This window comes from Homo sapiens, chromosome 14 (assembly GCF_000001405.40).
Source record: "Homo sapiens chromosome 14, GRCh38.p14 Primary Assembly".
In the NCBI taxonomy this organism is placed as follows: Eukaryota; Metazoa; Chordata; class Mammalia; order Primates; family Hominidae; genus Homo; species Homo sapiens.
In genome coordinates, this window is record NC_000014.9 from 61,677,413 (window position 1) to 61,705,198 (window position 27,786).

The 27,786-nt window shown below is 38.2% G+C and overlaps 1 protein-coding gene and 1 long non-coding RNA gene across 4 annotated transcripts in view, besides 5 other annotated features; one reads left to right on the forward strand and one right to left on the reverse strand.

Moving 5' to 3' along the window:
- Positions 1,442 to 1,942: an enhancer, noted in NCBI's record as "H3K27ac hESC enhancer chr14:62145572-62146072 (GRCh37/hg19 assembly coordinates)". NCBI's record gives its function as "activates a minimal SCP1, AML or CMV promoter by ChIP-STARR-seq in naive H9 embryonic stem cells {active_cell/tissue: H9 hESC(naive)}" and the evidence as "EXISTENCE:reporter gene assay evidence [ECO:0000049][PMID:30033119]".
- Positions 3,629 to 18,411, reverse strand: HIF1A-AS1 (HIF1A antisense RNA 1). The gene is made up of 2 exons (NR_047116.1): positions 18,295 to 18,411; positions 3,629 to 4,163 (listed from the first exon to the last, which is right to left on the reverse strand). It is a non-coding gene; the product is annotated as an HIF1A antisense RNA 1 (long non-coding RNA).
- Positions 13,639 to 13,933: a silencer, noted in NCBI's record as "tiled region #861; HepG2 Repressive non-DNase unmatched - State 21:Repr". NCBI's record gives its function as "represses a minimal TATA promoter and a strong SV40 promoter by Sharpr-MPRA in HepG2 cells {active_cell/tissue: HepG2}" and the evidence as "EXISTENCE:reporter gene assay evidence [ECO:0000049][PMID:27701403]".
- Positions 17,420 to 17,789: an enhancer, noted in NCBI's record as "active region_8500". NCBI's record gives its function as "activates an Ori minimal core promoter by ATAC-STARR-seq in GM12878 lymphoblastoid cells {active_cell/tissue: GM12878}" and the evidence as "EXISTENCE:reporter gene assay evidence [ECO:0000049][PMID:35858748]".
- Positions 17,860 to 18,159: a silencer, noted in NCBI's record as "silent region_5823". NCBI's record gives its function as "represses an Ori minimal core promoter by ATAC-STARR-seq in GM12878 lymphoblastoid cells {active_cell/tissue: GM12878}" and the evidence as "EXISTENCE:reporter gene assay evidence [ECO:0000049][PMID:35858748]".
- Positions 18,101 to 27,786, forward strand: part of HIF1A (hypoxia inducible factor 1 subunit alpha) — a 52,746-nt gene continuing 43,060 nt past the window's right edge. For 2 of the 3 annotated variants that reach the window (NM_001530.4, NM_181054.3), the window contains exon 1: positions 18,101 to 18,427. In NM_001530.4, coding sequence (NP_001521.1) covers positions 18,393 to 18,427 — 35 coding nt within the window. In that variant the 5' untranslated portion in view covers positions 18,101 to 18,392. Of the gene's footprint in view, positions 18,428 to 20,299; positions 20,543 to 27,786 lie in introns of those variants that run through there. The other variant, NM_001243084.2, reaches the window with a different exon arrangement.
- Positions 18,460 to 18,559: a silencer, noted in NCBI's record as "silent region_5824". NCBI's record gives its function as "represses an Ori minimal core promoter by ATAC-STARR-seq in GM12878 lymphoblastoid cells {active_cell/tissue: GM12878}" and the evidence as "EXISTENCE:reporter gene assay evidence [ECO:0000049][PMID:35858748]".

Sequence of the window (27,786 nt, forward strand, 5' to 3'; positions counted from 1 at the left end):
TGCTGAAAAGAAATATTGAGAATATCTTTCTGAATATCTGACTATGATTTTATTGAAAGCCCATTAAACTCAAGACAGTCTATGTGTCTTATATTGTAATAGTTCTTAATAAAGAAGGTAAACTTACAGAGTATTTCAAAAATTTCAAACAGAATTTTGAGCAATGTAACACTGCTACTTCCTTAGTTAAGAACACATGAACAAATGAGGATGAAATGATTGGGTCTTAAAAAGTTGCAGAAATCCTTACAAAACCTGGTCATGCTCATACATTTGCCTAGACTGCAATTTCAATAGTGATGAAGCAAAATCCAGTATTTTGAAAGAACTGCCATTGAGCAAGAATTCAATTCAAAGACATATGTATGAGTTGTTAGTTAACATTTAAAAGCAGTTAATTGGCACATTCAAAACAAGAAAAAATTTCTATTCAAATTGATGAAAGTTACAATAAAACCCTCCTAATGGCAATTGTTTGTTGTCTCAATGATGATTGTGTATTGCAAGAAGGGATGTTTGTAAGTTCTTTAGAAACTGACTATACTAGAACATCGATTTTTGCTACTATAAAGTTTTTGTTTAATACAACACAAGTGCCATTGGAGAATCAGGTGTCCAGTGCTTCTGATGGAGCAAATTCCGTGGCTGGAAGACACAAAGGTTTATAGCTCACCTGAAAGAAGTATGTCTTAATGTTCTTGCATTAAACTGCATTGTTCATCTAGATCAACTGGTTGCAAAAATGTTAGCCCAGTTCTTTATCACTCTCTCACTGTAATAATTAAAACCATCAGTAAAATATAGTCACATAGTAAGTCACATTTTCTGCCTTTTCAGAAAATTAAGTGTTGTTAAGAAACAGTATATAAGGTCTCGATGTAGAAAAGTCAGATGTTTTTCTGAAGAAACCTGTCAACAAAATTTGTAAACTTTTTTGATATAATTCATTTTTTTAGAAAGTGAATGAGACACAAATTTAGCAAAGGAAATCCGCAAACACAAAAAATAGCTTATATTTATTGGTTGGATTTTTCAGAAACTTAGTGAAGTATCATTTCAACTTCAGACAAAGTTTAATTTGCATGTTAGCAGCCTTCACTGGAAATATTTTAAAACAATATAATGAGAAAATAATTGCATGGTATTCAGGAGTTAGTTGAAATCAAGATCACTCACTAAGAATAAGCTTAGAAATTATTCAGGCAGGCCGGGCATGGTGGCTCACGCCTGTAATCCCAGCACTTTGGGAGGCCAAGGTGGGTGTTCACCTGAGCTGAAGAGCTGGAGACCAGCCTGGGCAATATGGTGAAAATTCGTCTCTCCAAAAAAAACAAAAACAAAAATTAGCCAGGTGTGGTGGAGTGGGCCTGAGGCTACTCAGGAGGCTGAGGTGAGAGGATCACTTGATTCCAAAAGGCTGAGGTTGCTGTGAGCCAAGATTGCGCTACCACACTCTAGCCTGGGTGACTGAGTGAGACCCTGTCTCAAAAAAAAAAAAGGAATTATTCAGACAGTTTAAGATAAACTTCTAACCACAAAGCAACCTAGAACAGCATGGTTTAAGAGGAGCCAAAATCCAGAAAACAGTACTCATTGTCTTGTAATCCTGTATGACATTTTGCTAGTAGAAGTCACCACCTGTTTAGGCAGGAATTCCAATTCCCTAAAGATTTTTGAGAATCCCAGAGGAATGTCTTGCATGCATTAATTAAGTAGTCCAGGTCATTCACTCTCCTAACTGTGGCTGGCCTCTGCCATGCTTGGGCTCTGGTGCAGCTAAATGCCGGCTGGAGCTCTGCTTACACGCAGCTGCTGGCCTCTGCTATGTTCATGTTTTACACCAGGTACAGATCCTTGCTAGCCCCTCCAGCTACCAGTGCTCTCAATCCTTGCTAAGTTGTAATAGCACAGCAGCAGTGAGTTGCTAGGTGAGAAAGGAAACAGTTTTCTCCCTTCTGTGTTAAACTATGTTAAAGGGTCCCACAGCAACATTTCTTAGAACCTAATGTGTTTAAAACCAACAAAAAACCCAGAACTGCTCTTCAATCCCTTAGCTTTTGTTGCTAAATCCAATTCACACCAGGCTTTTTCCCTATAGGGCAAATTGTCTGTGAGATTCAGCTGGTTTTTTTTGTTCTATTTTGCTCTCATTAGATTCTTCATTATCTAAAAGTTCCTGTGTATGCTTGAGATCCAATTATTGATGCTATCCCAGTTATTTTCCCAAAAGGCTTATCAGCAACCTTATAAATCAAATCAAATGGAATAGATGTACATGGAAAGGAAGGTGCCTATTTCTGTCCCCATAGCTGTATTGGAATCTTAGTTTTGGCCAACCCAGAAATGCCCTATTATATTTTCAAAATAAATATTTGTAAAATATTTTACTAGGCAACTTAATATATATTTAAAAGGAAAAAAACTAAAACAGGATTCTGGAGATTTGAATCCTAGTCTTATCACTAATTTTCTTTGTAAACTCCTGCCATAAACCTATTTCTTAGTGCAATGTATTAAATAGTTTTGCATGGTGGCTTTGAAAATCAAATAAGGAGATGGATGCAAATGCACTTTGAAAATATTAAATGTTCAATTCAAATGTGAAGAATTCTTATCTTTGTAATACTTAACAAAAATTTGGTCTTTGACTCTAATTGTCCACCTATTTAGTTATAATACTCACTCTACGTTTCTCAGTCTTAATTTTCTTTTTTTTTTTTGAGACAGAGTCTCACTCTGTCGCCCAGGCTGGAGTGCAGTGGCATGATCTTGGCTCACTGCAAGCTCCGCCTTCTGGGTTCACGCGACTCTCCTGCCTCAGCGTCCTGAGTAGCTGGGACTACAGGTGCCCGCCACCACGCCTGGCTAATTTTTTTGTATTTTTAGTAGAGATGGGGTTTCACCGTGTTAGTCAGGATGGTCTTGATCTCCTGATCTCGTGATCCACCCGCCTCGGCCTCCCAAAGTGCTGGGATTACAGGCTTGAGCTACCATGCCTGGCCTCTCAGTCTTAATTTTCTAAGGACTGTGTAAAATAAATTATTTTAAAGGAGCTTTGTCATAAAATGTTAGAGCTAGAAGAGAATTGGAGATCATATGCTCAAATCCCTTATTTTAGGATGAAAAAAGTGAAGCATAAAGAAGGAAGTGTTATCAGAATTGTGGATGGTGGAACAGGTCAAGAACTCAAGATCCTGATCCATAAATAGCAATCACTTCACCACATCCTAAAAGACTGTCCTCAAGGATACTAATTCTCCCTTTTCTGGGATTAGTTAACACAGCAATTATCCAACATGGGTTTCACTGAGCTTCCAAGTAAGCTATTTATTTATTCACACCATTCCTTATTTCCAGAGCTTCTACACACCAGTGCTCCTGGAACTCTTTTTAGGGCAGCAACAAAATGATATTTATTGAGCTCCTTTGCTGTGTTATGCACAGAAGGTACTGCAGATATAGCATTTAATAAGACAGACAAATTACTGCCATAATAGAGCATATATTTTACCAAAATACTGACCATAAAAGTAACATATGTATTAAAATAAAAGTAAGTTATTCTCCCAAGCTTATAGGACACACAGCTAATGTTCTTCTTGATAGTGTATTTCTTTAGTTGGAAGGCTAATGGAACATTTCTTCTCCCTAGTGGACCAACATTCAAGTTTCAGGTTTCCTAGAGGTAGTTTCCAAGTCCTTAAGCCATTTAAGAATATGTCTATGGATGCCCACATGCATTATGAGAAATACCTGTATGTCTCAGTTATCTTCCTCAGACTCAATGACACATGTATTTTTGCTAATACTCTCAGCGGCATTCATCCCCTAAACATGGAACAGCCCTTGCTAGGGCAGGAAAGAGCAAGGAACACATTTTTAACATCTGGGTCTGGCCATTTCATTTTTCCTCTGCGTTCTGGAGCGGGGATAATTCATTCAGCTATTTTATCTTCCTGAATTTTCCTCCTTTTCGCCAGCTGACAGTTAACTGCTATATATATTCTTCTGGTTGGGGTACTGGAAGCAGGGTGCGTAAAGTACCGAAGAATGGAGCTGGGATCCGGGAGTCAATGGGCCATAGGCAGAGACGAGATGAACAACCATAGGCTAAGGTGTAGATAAAATCCGGGTGATCAACCAATTGACAGTTGAACTGTAGTCTGGTGAGGATCGCATGAAGGAAAGGAACAGAAATTAGAAGAGCAATACAGTGAACAGGTGGTGAGCCTCTTTATGACAGTATCATTTCTAACAAACTTTATGGAGGTAAAATTTACATACAATAAAATAAGTCATTTTGTGTGAGCTTGATTTAAGATATGCATACATTCATGTATCCACCACTACACCAATATAATATAATAGTGTTTTAGGGTGGACTTCTGTTATTCCAAGGCATAGTTTTCTCAGCTTATTTCCTCCCACAGTTCCTCAGATAGCCAAGCACTGGGATTTGTCTTTGCTCCAGCAGCAAGTATCAATGAAGTATCAATAGCAACAAGATCTTGAGGCAAGCAAACTCTTGTTCCTGAACCGAGTTGCAATAGATCTCGCTAAGAGGATCTGGAACAGGGCTTGGAGAATGTCTGTGCAGCAAAATCAGAAAATGTTCTGTTTGCCTGGTCACATGGGGGATGTGGTAGAGACAGTCAGTTGAAGAATCCAGATGCTTGTCTGTCTAAACACAGATACAACCCACTGGATGGTCTTCCTTTTGTCTCTTATGATCCTAGAAGAGCAGACAAAAAGTGAGGGGCGGAGGTATAGTCAGGACCAGAAAGTGTTGGTCCAGGTAACGTTAGAGGGTGTCTGCAATTCCCAAGATCCACCCCAAAACTTGGCACATTGTACCTATTTAATATCATGATCCCTGTAATAAGATAATCCTGTGAAGTTCTGGCTTACTTGATACTGCCATGTAATTTACACTCACACAAGAGAGTAGCTAACCTGTCTTTGCAAGTCCAGGTATAAAATTAATCAACTTCTTGTGACTGCTTCTGCTTCTTCGTAGACAAGTTCTGACACACTTAACCAAAGGAAACTTTATAAGTTTTCCAATATAAGAGCCAAACAGCTAATGTTCCTTCATTACCCACAAAAAAAAATCAAAGGGAAAACATTATCCACCCAAAATTTGGAAAATATGAATTGCCAGTGGCTTAGGGCACATGGGAAGAAAACCAAGTTAGGATAAATATTAAGCTATGTATGATCCTTCTTTCTTTTCTGCTGTAATTCTTCCATTACAGTTTTTCATTTTAAAATAGTAAAAATCCTCAAATAAAAAAGATACAACTTGTAGTGAAAATTAACAGTTAGGGGAAAAAATAACTTTTAAATGCCACGTTCACTGGCATTTTCAATGTTTTGATAGCGTTTTTCTTCCTGATAGAAACCACAGTTGTTTTTGGGAGAATGACTGTGTCACAATAGCTTATAGAAGTAAAAGCTTGTGTCCTAAGATTTATTTTGAGATTCTCTCACCTACTCTCCATCACCTGACTGCCTGTATTATTATTATACGAGAAAAAGAGTTTTCTTCGTAGCATTGAAACAAAATAGGATGGAAATGCACAAAAATTCTGGAAGATTCACCAATTAACAAGAGTTATTGTTCAGCAGTGTTTTGGCAGAAGTTCAGCAGACTGTATATAGAACTTGAAGATGTTTCTCCTGTAGAGACATATGAACACATTTAAATTTTGGCCCCAAATAAAAAAATAACTATATAATATTAATTCATGTCATGGTAGCTTGGTCAAAATCTAGCAGGTGAATTCTATAGTAGAAGAATTCTTAGATTCATTGGCTATTTTTCACCCTTTGCTTTCATAAAAACCAGATATATCTAAGCTGGTTTGAACTGGATTTTGAAATTGTTAGTCATTTACGATAAAGAGATATAGTGTCCTTGCTGCTGAAAAATGATGTATGAGATGCGAAATCATTGTAGTCACTCCATAGATAGTAAGGACAAAGGAAAGAAAAACCCTAATCTTCTAACTGGTTGGAATAGTGAATATAGGTGGAAAGTAATTTTCTCTATTTACCTCTCATTTAAGGTTGATAGCTTTCACAAACAGATAAGGAAATTGATATGGTGGGGTTTTCCTGAAGCAAACTAATATCTAAGGTTCTCATTCTATAAAAGTTTGTCTTCCTAGCTATTAAATGTCTCCTTGCTAACCTGCCTAGAGAAATCTAATTTTATTTGCAATTAAATGTAAAAGATACTTGTTTATAAATATTAATGCCACATTAATTTTTAAATTCTTGTGATTTTGTTGACTTTATTATACATCTGTTTACTTTATAAAATATTTTTATATCATATAAATATTTATATTTAAAATATTTCATATTTTAAATATTTTACATATCATACATCTGCTTATTTTATAATATTTAAAATATTAAACATTTGTTTTCAGCAATCCTCCCACCTTGATCTCCCAAAGTGCTGGGATTACAGGCATGAGCCATTATGCCTGTCCTTTTATGTTTATTAATATGATATGTATGATATATAAAATGTTAAATATTTAAAAAATAAACAGATGTAGAATATAGAAAAAATTTAAAATATTAGATGTATGTGAATTTGTAGGAAATAATCTCCAACAATATTGTAATATGAAATACATTCAGCAGATAGACAAAGCATAAACTATTCTATCATTTGTACATAAAGGAAAGGACACTAAACACAGATATTTTGGTATACTAAATGAATACCTCTGACAGGTACACAAATAATTGATAGCAGCAGTGACCTCTAGAGAGAAGGAAGAGGCAAAGGAAGTCAGGAGAACTTTTGTGGTATTTGCTCATTTGCTGTATTTGAAAAAATTTTAACTAAATGTAAAACATATCCAAAAAACACACATGTAGTTATATCACTCAATTTTCTCTCATTCTAAAACTGACACTCCAGGAAGATGAACTATGTTTTTTCCCCTGCAGTAATTCCCCCCACCTCCACATTCCATAGATGTGAGCATTTCGTACACACTATTATCGCAGTTGGAGTAGAATAAAGGAGCGACATGGTCTATAATCCTATTTCAACTGCTTCCTAGATTTTGGCTTTGTATTTGACCATACCTCTTTGACCATTAACTTACTGATGCATAATGTGATTACTAGAATTCCTACCTCATAGGGCTGTCACGATGCTTAAAGGAAAGAGCATATCTAAAATGCTTATTACAGTGTTTGGAATGTAGCAGGTGCTCAAGAAATGATTGTTCTTGTGTGCTGGGCACCGATCCTAGATTATGGGACTGCCAAGATAAAAGTGTTCCAGCCCATAAGGAGCTCACACTCTATCTACAGTTGCACACAAACCTGCAGATTAAACCAAAATATATGTCTGACTCAGTAGAATGGACACAATATATTGAATTAATGAATTATAAAATGATATAATCTAAGTAAGTTTACACATTGTATTGTCTGGGATGGGAGATAGAAAGCAGGCAAAGCCAATTCTTTTTTTTGTTTTTTCAGGATGGAGTCTTACTCTGTTACCCAGGCTAAAGTGCAGTGGCGCAATCTCGGCTCACTGCAACCTCCACCTCCCAGATTCAAGCGATTCTCCTGCCTCAGCCTCCCAAGTAGCTGGGATTCCAGGCACACGCCACCATGCCCAGCTAATTTTTGTATTTTTAGTAGAGACGGGGTTTCACTATGTTAGCCAGGCTTGTCTTGAACTCTTGACCTCGTGATCCACCCGCCTCGGCCTCCCAAAGTGCTGGGATTACAGCCGTGAGCCACCGCGCCCGGCCCTGCAAAGCAGAATCTTAATAAATATCCTTCTCCTGGTAATTTATTTATTTATTTTGAGGCAGTGTCTCACTCTGTCACCCAGGCTGGAGTGAAGTGGCATGAGCATGGCTCACTGCAGCCTCAAACTCCTAGGATCAAGCAATCCTCCTGCCTCAACCTCCCATATAGGTGAAACTACAGGCACACACTACCATGCCTGACTAATTTTTAAAATTTTTTTATAGAGATGGGGTCGCACTATGTTGCCCAGACTGACTTCAAACTCCTGGGCTCAAGCAATCCTCCCACCTTGACCTCCCAACGTGCTGGGATTACAAGCAGGAGCCACCATGCCTATCCTTTTCTGTTTATTAATATACCAACTTACAGCTAGCTACGCTATTTACTCTTCAGCTATTGAAACTGATCATTTTAACAATTTAAAATTAATTTTATGAGTGAAGAAATATATTGAAATCCTGTAAGTGTCTGAATCAGGGGAGACTATTACCATTAATTTTCAAAAATGCAACTCTGTTCTTTGTTATGTCTTCTTTTTCTAGAAATGTAATATCTTATGGAACTGTGGCTTTTAAGAATCTTCCAATTGACTTTGATGTTGGAGAAATACCAAATATCATTTTCCTTTCTAGTCAGAATATAGTGAATGGGATGTTTTATTAAGGTTTATTCTTACACATCAACCCTTTTGCTTCATTCAGAAAGATAGGAAAACGTGACTTTGGTTAAGAAAAAAAGGGGGATATTCATTTTGAAAGTGGCCTTGGATTAATTTTAAAAAAGGTATTCAGGCCAGGAGCAGTGGCTCAGTGGCTGACGCCTGTGATCCCAGCATTTTGGGAGGCCAAGGCGGGTGGATCACCAGGTCAAGAGATAGAGAGCATCCTGGCCAACAAGAGATAGAGACCATTCTGGCCAACATGGTGAAACCCCGTCTCTACTAATACAAAAAAATTAGCTGGGCATGGTGGCACGCACCTGTAGTCCCAGCTATTTGGGAGGCTGAGGCAGGAGAATCGCTTGAACCCGGGAGGTGGAGGTTGCAGTGAGCCGAGATCGCACCACTGCACTCCAGCCTGGTGACGGAGCGAGACTCCATCTCAAAAAAAAAAAAAAAGTATTAGTTTTTTTCCTTTTAATTAATAGACTTTATTTCTTAGAGCAGTTTTAGGTTTAAAGAAAAATTGAACAGAAGGTACAGAGAATTCCCATATACTCTCCCTTTCCTCACCACCCCCAGACTCATGGTTTTCCGTATTATTGACATCTTGCATCAGTTTGGGACACTTGTTACAACTTATGAACCAATATTGATACATGATTATTAACTAAAGTCTATAGTTTGTATTAAGGTTCTCCCTTAATGTTGTATAGTTATATGGGTTTTGCCTAATGCATAATGTCACGTATCTACCATTTGAGTACCATACAGAATAGTTTCACTGTCCTAAAAAATCCCCTATGTTCCACCTATGCATCCCTCCCCTCTTCCTGTTAATCTCTAGCAGCCACTGATCTTTTTACTAGCTCCATAGTTTTGCCTTTTCCAGAACGCTGTAGAGTTGGAGTCATACAATATATAGGCTTTTTGGATTGGCTTCTTTCACTTAGCAATAAGCATCTAAATTTCCTCCAAGTCTTTTGGTGGCTTGATAGCTCATTTCTGTTTATTGCTGAATAATATTTCATCATATAGATACAGCACAATTTGTTATCCATTCACCTATTAGCAATTCTTGATTGTCTACAATTTTTGGCAATTATGAATAAAGTTGCTATAACATTTGTTAGGTAACATATGAGTTTTCAACTCATGCAGGCAAATAACAAGGAGTGCAATTGCTGGATTGTATGGTAAGACTATGTTTAGTGTTGTAATACACTAACAAACTGTCTTTCAAAGTGGCTATACCATTTTGCATTTCACCAGCAATAAAAGAGAGTTCCAGTTGCTCCACATGCTCACCAGCATATGGTATTATCAGTGTTTTGGATTTTAGTAGTTTAAGAGTGTAGTGGTATCTCATTGTTATTTAAAATTTGCAATTCCCTAATGACATATGATGTAGAGCATCTTTACATATGCTTGTCTGTCATCTGTATGTCTTTAGTAAGGTTTGTTCAGATCTTATGCCCACTTTTTAACTTGGTTATTTATTTTCCTTTTGTTGAGTTTTAAGAGTTGTTTGTATATTTTTGATACAAGTCCTTTATCAGACATGTGTTTTGCAAATATTTTCTCCCAATGTGTGGCTTGTCTTTTCATTCTCTTAGCATTGTCTTTTGCAGAGAAAAGGTTTTCTAAATTTAATGAAGTCCAACTTAGCAATTTTTTCTTTCATGAATTATACTTTTGGTGTTGTATCTAAAAATTCATTGCCAAACCTAAGGTCAACCTAGAATTTTTCCTATGTCATTTTCCAGAAACTTTATAGTTTTCCATTTTCCATTTAGGTCTAGAATCCATTCTGAGTTAATTTTTGTGATAGGTGTAATAAGGTGAGAGTCTAAAGTTAATTTTCTTTGCGTGTGAATATCTAGTTGTTCCATCAGTATTTGCTAAAAAAAATTATTCTTTCTTTATTGAATTGCCTTTGCTCCTCTGTCAAAAACGAATGGCTATTTTTGGTGGCTATTGTTGTGTGGGCTTATTTCTGGGCTCTAAATTCTGTTCCACTGATCTATTTGTCTGTACTTTTGCCAGTACTACACTGTCTTGATTACTGTATGTTTATATTATAGCCTTGAAGTAGTAGTAGTGTCAGTCCTGTAAATTTGTTCTTCTTCAATACCATACTGGCTATTTGGTTTTGCCTTTCCATGTAAACATTAGAATCAGCTGGTTGATATCCACAAACTAAGTTGCTGGGGTTTTGATTTGGATTGTATTAAATCTATAGATCAACTGGAAAAAGAACTGACCTGTTAATATTGAATTTTCCTTTCCATGAACATGAACTATTTCTCCATTTATTTAGATTCCTTTGTTTTCTTTCATTCGAGTTTTGTAGTTTCCCTCATATAGATCTTATACATATTTTCTTAGATTTATACCTAAGTATTTCAATATTTTAGTGCTAATGTAAATGGTAATTTTTTTTTTTTTTGAGACAGAGTCTTGCTCTTGTCGTCCAGGGTGGAGTGCAGTGATGCGATTGCGGCTCAGTGAAACCTCCGCCTCCCACGTTCAAGCAATTCTTCTGCCTCAGCCTCCCGAGTAGCTGGAATTACAGGTGCCCGCCACCATACCCGGCTGATTTTTGTATTTGTTTTTAGTAGAGACGGGGTTTCACCACGTTGGCCAGGCTGGTTTCAAACTCCTAACGTCAGGTGATCCACCCGTCTCGGCCTCCCAAAGTGCTGAGATTACAGGCGTGAGCCACCATGCCCGGCTGGTATTGTGTTTTTAACTCAAATTCCAACTGTTCCTTGCTGTATACAGGAAAGAAATAGACTCTTGTACATTAACCTTGTATCCTGCAACTTTGCTATAATAGCTTATTTGTTTCAGGAGATTTTTTGTTTGGTTTTGTTATGTCAATTCTGTGGAATTCTCTTTTTTGCTCTTGTCCTTTGTTTCTGTGTTGTCTTCCACTCATTTTCTGTCTTCTTTGGTTTTAATTGAGCAGTCTACATAATTCCATTCTTTCTCCTCTCTTAGCATATCAATTATACTTTAGAGAAAAAAATTTTACTGGTTGTCCTAGAGTTTGCAAATACACATATATGACTAATCCAAGTCCACTTTCAAATAATATTATACTGCTTCACTGGTAGTACAAGTATCTTATAACAGTATTCTTAATTCCTCCATCCCATCCCTTTTAACATTGCTGTCATTCATTTCCCTTTTCCATAAAATAATCCAGAATACATTTTTACTATTCTTTTTCTGAACAAACTATTATGTGTTAGATCAATTAAGAAAAAGAAAATACTTTATTTTACCTTTATTCCTTTTATAACGTTCTTCCTTTATGTGGATTCAATTTTCTGATCTATATTATTTTTCTTCTTTCTGAGGAACTTCTTTTTAACATTTCTTGCAAGGCAGTTCAACTGGCAACAAATTTCCTCCATTTTATACGTCTGAGAAAGTCAGACTTTCTTTTGAAGAAAGGACAATTTACTCCTTTAATTTTTACTCCAACATTTTTGAAGGTTAATTTCACTGAGTACAGAATTTTAGATGGGTGAGTTTTTTCTTTTAACACTTTAAGTATTTCATCTCACACTTTTCTTGCTTGCATGGTTTTTGAAAAGAAGTTTGATGTAACTCTTATTGTTCCACCTCTATAAGTAAGGTGTTTTCTCCCACTCCCATACTCCCTTGCCCCTTCTTTCAAGATTTTCTCTGTGTCTTTGATTTTCCACAGTTTTGAAAATACTATGCCTAGGTGTAGATTTTGAAGATTTTGTTTATTTGTTTCTTTAAGAGACAGGGTTAGGCCAGGCGCGGTGGCTCACGCCTGTAATGCCAGCACTTTGGGATTCCAAGGCGGGCGGATCACCTGAGGTCAGGAGTTCGAGACCAGCCTGGCGAACATGGTGAAACCCGTCTCTACTAAAAATACAAAAATTGGCTGGGCATGGTGGCAGGCGCCTGTAATCCCAGCTACTCGGGAGGCTGAGGCAGAAGAATCCCTTGAAACTGGGAGGCAGAGGTTGCAGTGGGCTGAAATTGTGCCACTGCACTCCAGCCCGGGCGACAGAGTGAGACTGTCACACTCACACACACAAATGACAGGGTCCCACTCTGCTGCCCAGGCTGGAGCACAGTGGTGCCATCATAGCTTACTGCAGCCTTGAACTCCTGGGCTCAAGCAATCCTCCCACCTCAGCCACCCAAGTAACTGGGACTACAGGCACATGCCACCCACTCAGGCTAATTTTTTATTTTTTATAGAGACAGAGTATCCCTGTGTTGCCCAGCCTGGTCTCTAACTCTCTAACTCCTGGGCTTGAGTGATCCTTCCATTTTGGCCTTGAAAAGAGCTGGGATTACAGGCACGAGTCACCATCCCTGGCCAGTCCAGGTGTAGATTTTTTTGTGTTTATCCTGTCAGTGCTCTCTGAGATGCCTGGATCAGTGGTTTGGTATTTGTCATTAATTTTGGAAGATTCTCGGTCATTACTTAACTATTTCTTCTTTCCTTACCTCTCTCTTCTCTTTTGGTACTTTCATTACAGTTAGGTTATAACTTTTGTAATTGTCTCACACCCACAGTACGTGGGTATTCTGTTCCATATTTTTCATTTTTTTTTTTTTTTTGCTTTGCATTTCAGTTTTAGAAGTTTGTACTGACGTATCTTCAAGCTTACTTATTCTTGCCTTGGCTGTATCCAGTCTATTGATGAGCCCATTAAAGGCATTTTTTCATTTGTTCTATTGTTTTTTATTTCTAGCATTTCCTTTCTATTCTTTCTTAGAGCTTCCATATCTCTGCGTACATTACCCATGTGTTCTTGCATGTTGTCCACTGTTTCCTTAGAATCCTTGGCATATTAATCATATTTATTTAAAATTTTTGGTCTCAAATTCAAAAATCTCTGCCATATGTGAGTCTGATTCTGATGTTTGGTTTGTCTCTTCAGACTGTGTTTTCTGTCTTTTAGCATATTTTGTAATTTTTCTATCATTGTTGTCATTGTTGAAAGCCAGACATGCTGTATCAGTTAAAAAGAACTTAGGTAGATGCGCCTTTAAGTGTGAGGTTTCATGTTTATCTGGCAAAGAGGTAGGCTTTGTTACTGTTCGTGGTGTCAGAGGCTAAAATTTCCTACTGTGTCCTTGTTTTTGCTTCCTATGTTGTCTTTGGCTGTCCCCAGAGACTCTTAAAATAGGGTCTGAGGTTTGAGTTCTTTTAGCTGTAATGCCCCGTTATTACACAGGAGCTCTTCTGATGTGGTGATAAGGTGAGGGGGAGAGGAGGACTTTCTGCAGTCCTATGATTAGGGCTCAAGTCTTTTAGTGAGCTTGAGTTGAGTATTTCCCTTCTCCCCTGTGGAAGGCTAGAGCTGACCAGAGTTGGTAATTTCCCTTCCTCCAGATTGGTTAGCCTTTGGTAGATTCATCTGGTTAGGCTCTGATAGAGAGTTTCCCTTGAGGCCAGGTCTTGTTAAGAAGAACAGAGAGCCCTGAGAGTATTTCACGATGGTTACTTACCCCTTCTCCCTGGCAAAAGCAAAGCAGATTTTTCTCAGATCTTTACAGTGAGAATCTGACAGGATTCACAGAGGTAAAACTGAGGTAAGTATTGAGGCCCCTCTCAGACTGAGCCTCCTTGGAGTTTTTTAACTCTCAAGCTAGTCTGCACTGAGCCTCCAGCAATTCCCCAATTACAGTTTAGTGTTCCTACTGATGTTGGCTCCAGCTGTGAAACTAGCTTCAGCTTCTGGCTTCTGTGCCTGGGCTCTGCTCCTGGTAAACTGTGATTCTCTGAAAAGCTGTGATTCTCTGTATCTATCTGTCTGTCTCTCTAGTTTTTAGGGCAGTGGTTTTTCCTGTGACCTCAATTCTCTGGTGGATCTAAGAAGAGTTACTGATTTCAGTTTGCTTAGCTTTTTTTTTTCTTGTTGTGAGGATGGGAGTGACAACTTCCAAGCTCTTTACATGTTGAACAGGAAACTGAAAGCCCCTTGGTGTTCCTTTGTAAATTCATCTTAAAAATATTTATCATAATTGAAAAGTGCTAATATCAAATTTTCAGTCTGTTTATATTCCCCCTAAACTCAGATAAATATACATTTTATTTTGTGTGTCTGTGTGTGTGGGTTTTGTTGTTGTTTGTTTTTTGTGTTTTTTTTTAAGATATAGGGTCTTGCTCTGTCAAGGCTGGAGTGCAGTGGCACAATCGTACATCTCTGCAGCCTCGAACTCCTGGGAGAAAGTGATCCTCCCGCTTTAGCCTTCAGAGTAGCTACGACTACAGGCACTAACCACCAAGCCCAGCTAATTTTTAAAATTTTTTGTAGAGATGGGAGTTTCACTTTGTTGCCCAGGCTGGTCTCAAACTCTTGGCCTCAAGTGATCCTCCTGCCTCAGCCTCCCAAAATGTTGGAATCACAGATACTTTGTGTCTTGATTCTTGAAAGGAAAAAACAAAGATTTTTAATGCCTCTTATCTTGTACGCACTTTCCTTCCAAACAATACCCTTTTGCTGCCATTGTTCTCGTTATGAATAGCTTAAAGAAAAAGAAACAACTAAGGGTAGTAATAGGCCAGGAATCACTTACTGAATACTAGGTCTTCTTGTATAGTTTGATACCCTATAAATTGTGTGCATCTGATGCATTTCACCTTCAAAAGGCTCAATGCTCTGTATTATTTAGTAGTAATCAAAATTTCAAGTTTTACTTAACCTCCTGATTCACTGCCCAATTTCCTAATAAATACGGGCTAAGGGTCAATGGGGTCATTTGCAAGTAATCTTGTAGTCTACTCAGAAAGTTCTGCAAAGTTAGAAAGTGATTAAATGACTGTTTGTTAAGATATACTTACATAGTAATAACCTAAATGCATTTGTTAAGTGGTTGTAGAGAGAGGGATTTAAAATTTTATCCTATATGAAATTTTCCTTTTTGGTGTCTGTTATTTAATAGGATTGTTTGAATTAGGGGATACTATTTGGTGCCTTTGTAACTATATGAAAATTAGTTGGTTGAATATTACTGCTTTCCATGTTCATATTTATATTTGTATAGACATATATATATATACACATATACTACTTTCCTTTCCATTTTCATATTTATATTTGTGTATACACATATACATAAACATATATTTTATACATTTTTGAAAAGGAAAATTAACTTAAGGGCATATTTAATGAATATTCAAAAATTTTTTTGCTGATCAAATTATCATTCTGCTTTAAACTTTTGAAATGATCCAAAAAAATTTTAAATGACTTAGATTTACTGTTACAAAATGCTTGTCTTTTGATGTCACAAACATTATATACTATAATCACTGGCCAGAGATAATTGCTATAAGTATAATGAAAAGGGAAATGATGGAAGATCTCTGCAGCTATCCTCATAAATGAGGGTGGGAACACGATGGGCAGTTCCAAAGTTGAAAATAGAGAATATATGTGGATTTATATTAACATAATTGGTATTCTTGGATAGTTAAAAATGGCTAAACTGTAGGAGAAGCCCGAGTAATTACTGTTAACAGAGGAATAAATTTGAGGGCAATAATAATGATGATAGGCCAGGCACTGTGGCTCATGCCTGTAATCCCAGCACTTTGGGAACCCGAGGCGAGCGGACCACCTGAGGTCAGGAGTTCGAGAGCAGCCTGGCCAACATGGTGAAACCTCGTCTCTACTAAAAATAGAAAAATTATCCGAGTGTGGTGGTGCGTGCCTGTAATCCCAGCTACTTGGGAGGCTGAGGCAGGAGAATCACTTGTACCTGGGAGGCGGAGTTGCAGTGAGCCGAAATCGCGCCACTGCGCTCCAGCCTGTGGGCCAGAGCGAGACTCCGCCTCAGAATAATAATAATGATAATAATAATAACGCCACCAACAATACTAAGAGCTAACATTTACTGAGTGCTTACTATGCACCAGATATTGTTCTAAGTATACATTTATTATCTCATTTAACCATCCATAATACTGTGGTATAGACACTTTTATATCCATTTTATAAATAAGTAAACTGAGTTATGGAGAGATTAAACGACTTGCCAGTAAGATTCAAAGCCTGTGTACAAGCTCACGCTTGATTCTGGAGCCAGTGTTCTTAACACAGTATCTTGAGAATGTTAAACTAAAAAGTTTTTAATTTACAGTATTCTTTCCACAATTAAAAAAGAAATTATGAGTAATTATTTTTAGTTCTTTCTTCTCTTCAGGCATTTCCCATGGTTCTTTTCAAGACATAATACATATCATTTAGTGTTGTAGATCTGAAAAAACAAAAGTAGCGTGAAGATCAAAAATTTTCTAAAGAGACGGAGTCTCGCTACGTTCCCTAGGCTGGAACACCCAGGCTTCTCCAGCCTCACACCTCTGAGTAGCTGGAACCACCCTGTCCGCTAAGGTCAATGTTTAATCGTATCTTTGTAGGTCTACTGACCAGTTAAAAAGAGGTGCTGTATACATTGGTTGTTGTCTTGTCAGAGTTTGATGCTTCTATATAGACCATTGTTTTTACATGCTAATACAATTGAAAGCCACTACAGATATTTATATTTACAACCCAAAGCTAGGTTTTAACAAGAAACTCATAAGGCAAAGGTGAGAAGTAAAATAATTTAGCGCCAAGTGGAGATATATGTGCAATGCTACTTTGTTGGGCTCAAAACATATTTTTCTTTTAGAAGACTGACAGGCTTGAAGTTTATGCCTCCAAAGACAAAAGTGATTATGTTTTGTTTAGTAGCTTGCAAAGTTGCCAAAGGCCATTTTTTCTACTCTTTCCCTGAAATTGGTTTATATGCTTATTAAAGTCATTTATACCTATTTGCAAATGCTTAACATAGTTTCAGATTTTAAGATTTCCCTGCAACTTTATTTCCCTTGAAGTTTACAGCAACAGGAGTTCATTTTTATTTTTAATTGCATTTATTCAGTAAGTAAACTCCGCCACAGAAAAACTTAGTAGACAAGGTGAGTTCCCCTGTGCTCCGTGGCAAAGAGTGCGGTGGGTGACATTGACCCATGGTTAGGTAATCTGGTAAGGAAAGACCCCGTTGTAACACATCTGAGCAACGAGACCAAAGGAAGGGCTTGCTGCCACGAGGCGAAGTCTGCTTTTTTGAACAGAGAGCCCAGCAGAGTTGGGCGGCAATCGTGCCCAGCACTGAGGCCGAGGAGAAAGAGAGCAGGAGCATTACATTACTGCACCAAGAGTAGGAAAATATGATGCATGTTTGGGACCAGGCAACCGAAATCCCTTCTCAGCAGCGCCTCCCAAAGCCGGGCACCGCCTTCCTTCGGAGAAGGCGCAGAGTCCCCAGACTCGGGCTGAGCCGCACCCCCATCTCCTTTCTCTTTCCTCCGCCGCTAAACACAGACGAGCACGTGAGCGTCGCAGCCCGTCCCAGCTGTGCCTCAGCTGACCGCCTCCTGATTGGCTGAGAGCGGCGTGGGCTGGGGTGGGGACTTGCCGCCTGCGTCGCTCGCCATTGGATCTCGAGGAACCCGCCTCCACCTCAGGTGAGGCGGGCTTGCGGGAGCGCGCGCCGGCCTGGGCAGGCGAGCGGGCGCGCTCCCGCCCCCTCTCCCCTCCCCGCGCGCCCGAGCGCGCCTCCGCCCTTGCCCGCCCCCTGACGCTGCCTCAGCTCCTCAGTGCACAGTGCTGCCTCGTCTGAGGGGACAGGAGGATCACCCTCTTCGTCGCTTCGGCCAGTGTGTCGGGCTGGGCCCTGACAAGCCACCTGAGGAGAGGCTCGGAGCCGGGCCCGGACCCCGGCGATTGCCGCCCGCTTCTCTCTAGTCTCACGAGGGGTTTCCCGCCTCGCACCCCCACCTCTGGACTTGCCTTTCCTTCTCTTCTCCGCGTGTGGAGGGAGCCAGCGCTTAGGCCGGAGCGAGCCTGGGGGCCGCCCGCCGTGAAGACATCGCGGGGACCGATTCACCATGGAGGGCGCCGGCGGCGCGAACGACAAGAAAAAGTAAGCCCATTCCCTCGGCCCGCCGCCTTCTCCCCCGGCGACCCCGCCCGCCTGCCCGCCCTGGGCTCCTGGGCCGGCCTCGGCGTTAATGGGATTGGGGGGGGCAGCCTTTTTGTTTCTGCTGCTGCTCCCCTCCCCTCTCTTCCCCCAACCTCGCCGGCCGGGCTCCCCCGCTGTCCACGTCGCCATCTTGTCGTGGGGGGTGGGAGACGCCTCGAAAGTGCTTTCAGGGGCCGGGGTCTGAGCCCTGCTTGCCCTCCCCGCCGGCCGTGGGGGCCTCGCGCCGCCCACCTACCCGCCTCAAAAACCCAGCCTGCTCTGTGGCCCCATCCGGAGGGGACTTTACCCAGCCTGAAAACCCCGGGAAGAGAAATGAGCTGCAGCTCGGTAGCCGCGGTTTGCACCCGGAGCTTCCGCTCCTTCCCGCCCCCATCCTCTCCAGTTCCATTGAAAACTCGGCCCTGGGGCGGACCCTGCACGCTGGTCCTGGCTTTCCAGTGGACTTGGGGCCTTGAGTTCCCGACTGAGGGACTCGCGTGGTCGGATGCGATCTTGTCCTGTAGTTGTCCAGCCGTCGCGGGTGTCTTTGCCTTTGTGCATTAGGGATTTGCCGCGATGGCCTTAAGATGCGAACTTTTTAGTTTGCACGTGCAGGTTTTGTTTCGTTTTAATCGCCTTGAAAAACTTGCCTAGACTGAGAGTCAGAGTAATGGGAATTTAGGGAAATGGCAACATTTTAAAGAGAACTTCAGAATTGGATACTTGAGTTCATATCACCTGTCACGAGAACGCAGATATTATAAATGAATATATGCCTCATTCATTCTTCAAATAATGAAAATGTAGGGGCTGGTTAAATTTAGGCAGTTTTAATGATACTGAAAAAAGTATATGATGAGTGAATGAAATGCGGCACTAAAATGTTGCAAAAATTTTCGAACTCTGTCTCATTTTCCTGAAATTGAAGTATATTAAAGGAAAACCGTCAACATATATCTAAAGTAAGTAATCACTCGGTTAGAACTTAATGCAAGTTTTATAAATCACCTTGAAGTTTGAGTCTAAGGGGTACATTAGAGATTAAGAATTGTGAGTTGGACCAGTGGTGTTAAGAGCGGACTCCCCCATCCCCCAACACACACACAATTTTGCCCACTTTGGCATTTTAACTTTTAAGGAAATCACTTAAGGAATTGAAGATTTAGAGTAAGAGTTTTGGTTAGTAGACTGGCTTTGCTGTTAAATCCTTCCACTCTTCTGGCAGAGAGATTAATTTCCCTAATCAGTATCAGCAGAAGATAAACTTGTTTATATTCCTGCTGTTTTGTAGATCCCTTCTCCTGGTCCTTCTTCAATAGAATATTAAATTCTTAGTTTGTATACAGCAGAGAAGGTCACTTATAAAATTCAAAAAGTGAGCAAACAGGTCTAGATTAATTCCAAGAGTTACCAGGAATTAATTGCAGTTTATTTTGCGGAGGTGATTACAGTGCTTTTGATGAAATGATAAAGCTGCTATATTGTAAACCTAAGGCAGATTACCTCTGTGTAGTGCCAGTTTTCTATCCTTATTATATATTGAATCATACTTAATACAATGCATTAAATTATGTACCACTTTTTTTATATACAGTATCGAACTCATTGTTTTGCCATTCATCCGTTCAGAATATCAGAAGCAGTTTTGAAACGAATTAATAAATTAGCTACTGTTCATCAGCCCCAATTCTAAATAAGCTCTTAGATTTTCCTCAGCCCATCTGTTACTTTCAAAATTTTCTCATTTGAAAACTTGGCAACCTTGGATTGGATGGATTCATATTTCTTAGTATAGAAGTTCTTGATATAACTGAAAAATTAAGTTAAACACTTAATAAGTGGTGGTTACTCAGCACTTTTAGATGCTGTTTATAATAGATGACCTTTTCTAACTAATTTACAGTTTTTTGAAAGATAACTGAGAGGTTGAGGGACGGAGATTTTCTTCAAGCAATTTTTTTTTTCATTTTAAATGAGCTCCCAATGTCGGAGTTTGGAAAACAAATTTGTCTTTTTAAAAGAAGGTCTAGGAAACTCAAAACCTGAAGAATTGGAAGAAATCAGAATAGAAAATGGGTATGGTTATGATACTGTAGATTTAACGCAGGACATTTCATGTTGTTCCTAGTTATAGGGGCTGAACTTATTTAATAGCACGTGCATTTTGATTTTTAGATTTTTAAGGGAATGTCAAGAGAGTAATGATTCTGTTTCAGGCTTCAGGCCAGACTCCTTCAGAGTTTTCCAAAACAAATAATTACTGAATCATTAAAGTAAAATTTCTGAGAATAGATATTCCTTAATTTCCTTCATTAACTTTGGCCATTAAAAGTCAAGAAGCTCTCTCATTTATTAGCAAACTTTTCTCCTTATGATTCTATTTTGATTGTCCTTTTGTTTGAGGAAGCAGCATATGGTGGTTAAGAGCATAGGATCTAGAGGCAGATACCTCTGAGTTAAGGGTCCCAGCCCTTCACTTGTGAGCTTGAGCAAGTTACTGAATGCCTCTGAGCCTCTTTCCTCCTTTTGAAATGATGATAAGAATAGCAGCCATCTGAGCAGTTATTGTAAAGGTTAAATGAGATAATGCTTGTGAAGCACTTAGCCCATTGCAGGAGTCTTGATGACACTGTGTACTTGAAAATAGATGTTACCTGTTAAAATTCTTGTTTAAACTTCCACAACTCTTAAAACTCTTTTTTGCTAGTCCTTCCAGCTGTTTCCTTTAGTTTCTTTTCTGTGTCTTCATGCATCTTTTCTATCTCCTGAAAGTGAAAAGACTAACATTGGATCCAGAGCTTGAAAAGCGTTTTTTTCCTGTTACAATGGGCAAAAGAGTACATCCTTGGGTTATATTGGCACCTAGTATCAGTTATTTTTCTTGAGCATCTGATCTGCTCTCTACTCTAGTGGAGGCCTCCTGCTTCACAATTGCTCACCCCTGTGTTTTCTCCCCAAATAGAATACTGAGTTTACTCTGGACTCTAGAGTCAAACATACACAGTATTCTAGTCTTACTGTTCATTTAAGCAAGATATGTGCAAGACACTGCATTCTTAGTACTGGCAGTAAGTTAAAACATTTTTCGTCTTGATGCCAAAGTTTAGACAATTTTATAAAAATTAACCTTTGTAAAAGATAATGAGTTGATAAAATATTCTCAGTAAAGCAGCTACGTGGTAGAAAAACTGTCCTTTGCTTATGAGTTTCTCCAGAGTTAAGACCATTGGGTTCCATCTGAAGGCAAGACTTCAAGCTTGTCTTACTGGTCTGTTTTGTGGCTCAATTTGTATGAAGTCTATGCACTCTTCCACACGTGTGTATTTACTGAACTATCGAGTTATTTTAGACTGAGAAAGTATTGGAGTTCATTCCTACGGTCCACTGCAGAGCACCTTGTGCAGTTTGGAGAATGTCAACTTTTCTACCTGTTAACTTCCATTGTCTTTACTTTTAACGCCATTGTCTGTGACTCTAATGGTGTCACGGCTCAGGGTTTAGATTTTGTGGTTACATTCTATTCTTGTATGTCAAGAGTGGTGTATAGAAAGCTGAGGGGGATTATTTAGTCTCTTGACTGATTTTTTTTTTTTTTCTGAAGAACTCAGTTTATTATGTTTGGTGGTGAAATAAAAATTGATGTGCATGGATGTTAAAGATTTGGGTTAAATTGTGTGTTCATAGATGCCTTCTCTTAGTATATAATTTTTTAAATTTAGATACTTAAAATACTGTATCCCTTTATCTAAGATTAACATAAGTCTGTTTCTTAACCAGGATAAAAAAATCTAAATTTAAATGTGATGTTGGATGAGTTTCCAATCAAGAAATTGATTTTTTAAACTTTGTGACTAGTTATCCAGTGGGTGGATTTTACCCAGTGTGTGTATGTGTTTTCTGCTTAACTCTGGAAGGTTAGAAAGAGAATTTGAAACTAAGACAAGCCAAGCTTCTTGTTGCTCAGTATTTTTGGTAAAAATATGGTCAGATTGTTTAAATTAACTATAGGCTTTGGAATTTTAAAAATAATTATATCTCTTGGTCTCTTGACACATCAAGAATTAACTGTTTTGTATATGCGTTGAGTATTAATGTTCATGTTTTCTGCAGTAGAAATTTATAAACCCTTATTTATTTGCCAGACATGATCCCTTTAGAGAAATCTAGTATCTAAAACCTGAATTTTTAAAACAAAATTTAAAATTTTTGTTTCATAAAAACAAAAATGTGATTACCTCATGGCTTTTTTCTTATAGCTTTTGATTGTTTTTTAAAATCGTAGTTCAAAAACATTAACCTAAAATTTACCATCTTAACCATTTCTAAGTACTGTTCAGTAGTGTTAAGTATATTCACATTGTGCCACTAACTTCCAGAACTTTTTCATCTTGCAAAGCTGAAATCTTACCCATTAAACAACTCCCAATTTCCCCCTCTCCTCAGCCTCTGGCAACCACCATTTTACTTTCTGTTTCTGCAAATTTAACTACTCTAGATGCCTCATATAAATAGAATTATAGGGTTTTAATATTTTTGTGATGGGCTTATTTCACTTTGTGTAATGTCCTCAAGGTTCATCCATGTTGTAGCATGTGTCAGAATTTCCTTCCTTTTTGAGTCTGAGCAATATTCCATTATATGTTCCATATTTTGTTTCTCCATTCATCCAGCAACGGACACTTGGGTTGCTTCCACATCTTGGTTATTGTGCTGCTCTGAACATGAGTCTGCAAATCTCTCTTTGAAGCTTTCACTTTTTTTGGATACATATCCAGAAGAGGGATGCTGGATCATATGGTAACCCTTTTTAATTTTCAAGGAACCACCATATTGTTTTCTATAGCAGTTGCACCAGTTTACATTCCCACCAACAGTGCACAAGGGTTCCTATTTCTCCACATCCTTCTAAACACTTGTTTTCTTTCTTTCCTTCCTTCTCTTCTCTTTCTTTCTTAGCCATCTAATGTGGCAAAGTGGTAGCCATCTAATATGTTGAAGTGATTGTTTTTAAGGGCTTGTTTGTGGATAATTAACCAGCTGAAAGCTAACTACAGTTTGCCAGTGGAAGCTTTAACTGAAAGGAGAGTAAGTACCTCTAAAAGGAGAATTCAATTTTTCTAGTGACTTAGATTTGTTATGCCAGTACTTTTTCACAGAAACACTTTTTGGGTAAAATAGTGTACACCTGTTCTATTGTTGATAAAGCCCAATTTAATTAGGAAATTTGTTCTCTAAGATTTAAAACAATAATTGAAATAATGTATTTTTATTAAAAACTGTTCCCAAGATGTTAGCTTTTAGCTGTTCTGGTGATCTCAACTGTTATTTATGAGTGTTTCTTTATTTTAAAATTTCACCTTAACCGGTTACAGTTTTAACCATAAAGATTATTTCAACATATGATTTTGAAAATTTATTATCTTGTAAATGGGAAAATGTAGTGATGGAACATAGTTTACTGTATGTAGTTCTTCACTTGTTTGAAAAGTCACAATATATTTAGGCAAATTAATTTAAAAGTGTCTAGTATTTAATATTGCAATTTTCACTCATTAAGGACAGGTCCCCCGTGTTTCCCCCTTTTTTTTTTCCAAGTAGTTTGGGAGGATTTGTTTTTCCAGCTGAAAAATACTATGGTTAAAAATAAGGTTTAAAGGCGAAAGTTGAAGTCTTTGAGGGTTGGGATACGTTTCTGTTCTTAAGAGTCTTGTAAATTCAGATGCTAAGCAAATTTCTTTAAAATGATTTCTACCCTCCCCCTTTCCATTATAAAACTGGATATGTTTCAGTGGACCAAATCCCAAGTAGGCTGAATTTGAAATTTGTGGGCTGGGCGCGGTGGCTCATGCTTGTAATCCCAGTACTTTGGGATGCCGAGGTGGGTGGATCACCTGAGGTCAGGAGTTCGAGACCAGCCTGGCCAACATGGTGAAACCCCATCTCTACTAAAAATACCAAAATTAGCCAGGCGTGGTGGCGGGTGCCTGTAATCCCAGCTACTTAGGAGGCTGAGGCAGGAGAATTGCTTGAACCTGGGAGGCGGAGGTTGCGGTGAGCCAAGATCGCCCCATTGCACTCCAGCCTGGGTGACAGAGCAAGACTGTGTTTCAAAAAAATTAAAAAAGAAATCTGTGGTGTGAATACTGGTACGTGGTGTACACAGTGAGCTCTTAATAAGTATTTGAATTAACAAATGAGACAATGATTGAATAATTGGATGAACAAAGAGAATGCAGGTTTTTAAAAGGTTTCTTTAGAAATATTGTCGGCCCGGCACGGTGGCTCCTGCCTGTAATCCCACCATTTTGGGAGGCCGGGGCAGGTGAATCACCTGAGGTCAGGAGTTCAAGACAAGCCTGACCAACTTGGAGAAACCCCGTCTCTACTAAAAATACAAAAAAAAAAAAAAAAAAATAGCAGGATGTGGTGGCACATGCCTGTAATCCCAGCTACTCGGAGGCTGAGGCAGGAGAATCGCTTGAACCTGGGAAGCAGAGGTTGCAGTGAGCCAAGATCGCGCCACTGCACTCCAGCCTGATGACAGTGTGAGATGCTGTCTCCAAAAAAAAAAAAAAAAAATTAAAAAGAATGTTTTAATTCTTTAGTTCCCTGTCTGAGATTCACTGATTGGTAAGAAGAAAGTTAAAGAATCTCCTTTGACTTTTTTTGATATAGATATTTAAATTCTATTACTTTATAGTAAGGTTGGGGTTTATTTTCTTTGCTTTATAATAGAAGAGCATTGATTATTCTCTTTGCTTTATAATAGAATACCATTTAAATAGGAGTTCCCTGAGTGTGTTTACAATCATTTGATCTGGCTAAACTATTTTAATGTTAATGAAATTTTAAAATTTTGGAGGAAAAAATTTAAAAACTACACAGGTGCACAAAGAAATAAAAATCACCTGCTTTTTCACTATGTAGAGACCATTGTCTACTATTTCTCAATTCTGTGTTACATCTGTATGTTAATAACTGTAGGATTAGGGACTGAGTACTGTTTTTAACCTGCTTTTAAAAAATTTACATCTACATTTTTTCCCATCTAAATAGTGAGGAAGAGTATCAGAATTTTGTAGGCTTGTGGTGATGGTTAAATTAGATAATATTAATGTTGGGTACTTAACATAATATATGGCTCTTAATACTCTCCAGATTTCAGATATAGTCTGTTTTACCATTACTGCCTTTTTATCAAACCTATTCTCAAAAAAGTGAGAAAAGTGCTGAGATTACAGGCGTGAGCCACCATGCCCGGCCTCATGGTTCTTTCTTAATAATAAATTAGAAGAAGTAGAATTACAGGGTCAAAAAGTATCCATTTTAAAGCTTTCAATGTAATTGCCTGTTTATCTTCTAGAAAGTTTGACCTAGTTGTATTTTAGAGTGTCATTTTCTTGAACTTTATCATCATTAAAGTTTTAAATTTGGAACACTGGCAATTTGATAAGTATATTAGGATTCTTCTTATTGCAAGTAGCAAAATACAACTCAATCTAGTTTAAGAGGGGAAAATGTAGTCATTGGCTAACACAATCTAATTTTGGTTTAAGAGACAAATCTAGAGTCTCAAATGATCTCAGAGTGTAATAATCCCTGACTTTTGTCTTGATATTACTTGGCTTGTATACCTTTGCTCTATTTGCATGCTGGCCTTACTCTGCCACTGACAGGCTGTCTGTATGGTGTGGAAGAGGACGGCTAGCATCCCCATACCTGCATCCATACAGTTTGTAATATAAAAAAAAAAAAAGTAAAAAAAACTCCCTCTCTCTTCTAGTGTCTATATATCAGTTTCCTAGAAGAAAACGTTTTGCCCTACTTGGCCATGTGAATGGAGTTCCCTGATTACATGAGTCAAATATGTCTTATTGTAGCATATTTGATGGTCTTCTTGTAGAATATTATCTTACTATACACAGAACTCTTGACCAGTAATTAATGGGCCATGAGTTTTTGTTGCAAGTCATTTGAATTCATATTCTATAGTTTTCTACCAAGTGTAGTCATTCTGCAAGCTGTTCTTGTCATGACTTTTGGGAAGTTGAGTATTTCTTCTATGGGTTAGGGTTTTCATCTCAAGAAAAAGATGATCCTTTTCTCTACTAAATATGTGTTAAGATCACACATTTTTCTAGATCGTTTAGCTCTACTGTGTGATCTTACACAAATTGCTTTATTGGGATGATAAGAATAATTGCCTTATAGGATTGTTATGAGAATGAAATGATACATCAACTCATATGAAACACTCAGAACAGCTCTTGGCACAAAGTAAGGGCTTAATTAAGTAGAAACTATCCATATATTCATAATATTATAGTATTGGTTAAGTTGTTTTCAACATTGTTTAGAATCGCTCAAGCCTTCTTTGTGATAATCTGACGAAGGCTATTCACCACCAGTGAGTAAATAATAGTGGCAGAATAGTTACTGATGCTTTTCCTTTACTTGGTTTTTTTTCCATAAACATCTGGCCTTTGCAGACTAAATACTGGTTTATGTATAGACATGTTATTCTAAAATAATTTTCCATAGTGGTAATACTAAAGGAAGAAAAATGTTCTCAAAGCTATTTATTTGGGATGTTAAAGGAGGGGGAAATTAAGAAAGCCTACATTTCCATGTCCTTTGTGTCCAGAATCTCATTAAATGTCTTTTAACTTGTTAGCAGAGGAAAGTTGGATATTGCCTGCCTTTGTAGCTAACATAGTTAAAATATTTAAATGGTTATAGTGTCAAACCAGTAGTCAAAGCCTTCACTGTGAATGGATGAAGGGATATTTTCTTGAATAATTTAAGTTGACTTATTTCAGTGGTTCAAAAAATTTCTTCAACGCTTAACCATGACTCAGGCACCTAACTATTATACTATGTCCTGTAACAGATTGTTGTGCATTCATTTATTCAACAGGTATTTGTGCAGCTAATTTATTGAGTACAGCATTGAATCGTTGATGGCTTAGGCCACAGTTGAACATTCCATTTTTTATGTTCATTCATTCATTCATAGCATATTCCATTTTTAAATTTTCAGTTCATTGCACTTTAAAGTTTGAGGTTCTTGCGAAGTACAGACTTTTGGGTTTAAGTTTTGTTATTTAATGTCAACCACCACAGGCGCATTGGCCAGTCTGCTTTTAGAATTTTCAGACATACATACACAAAACATTCTCACAAGACAATCTACTTATTTTCTTTTTTATTCCTGTGTTTCTTAACACAGGATTAATGTTCAGATCTCTTTTGGAGCAAAATAATCCTCTGAATTTTTGAGATGTACCCAGTGACCTCAGTCTGAGTATGTATACTGCATT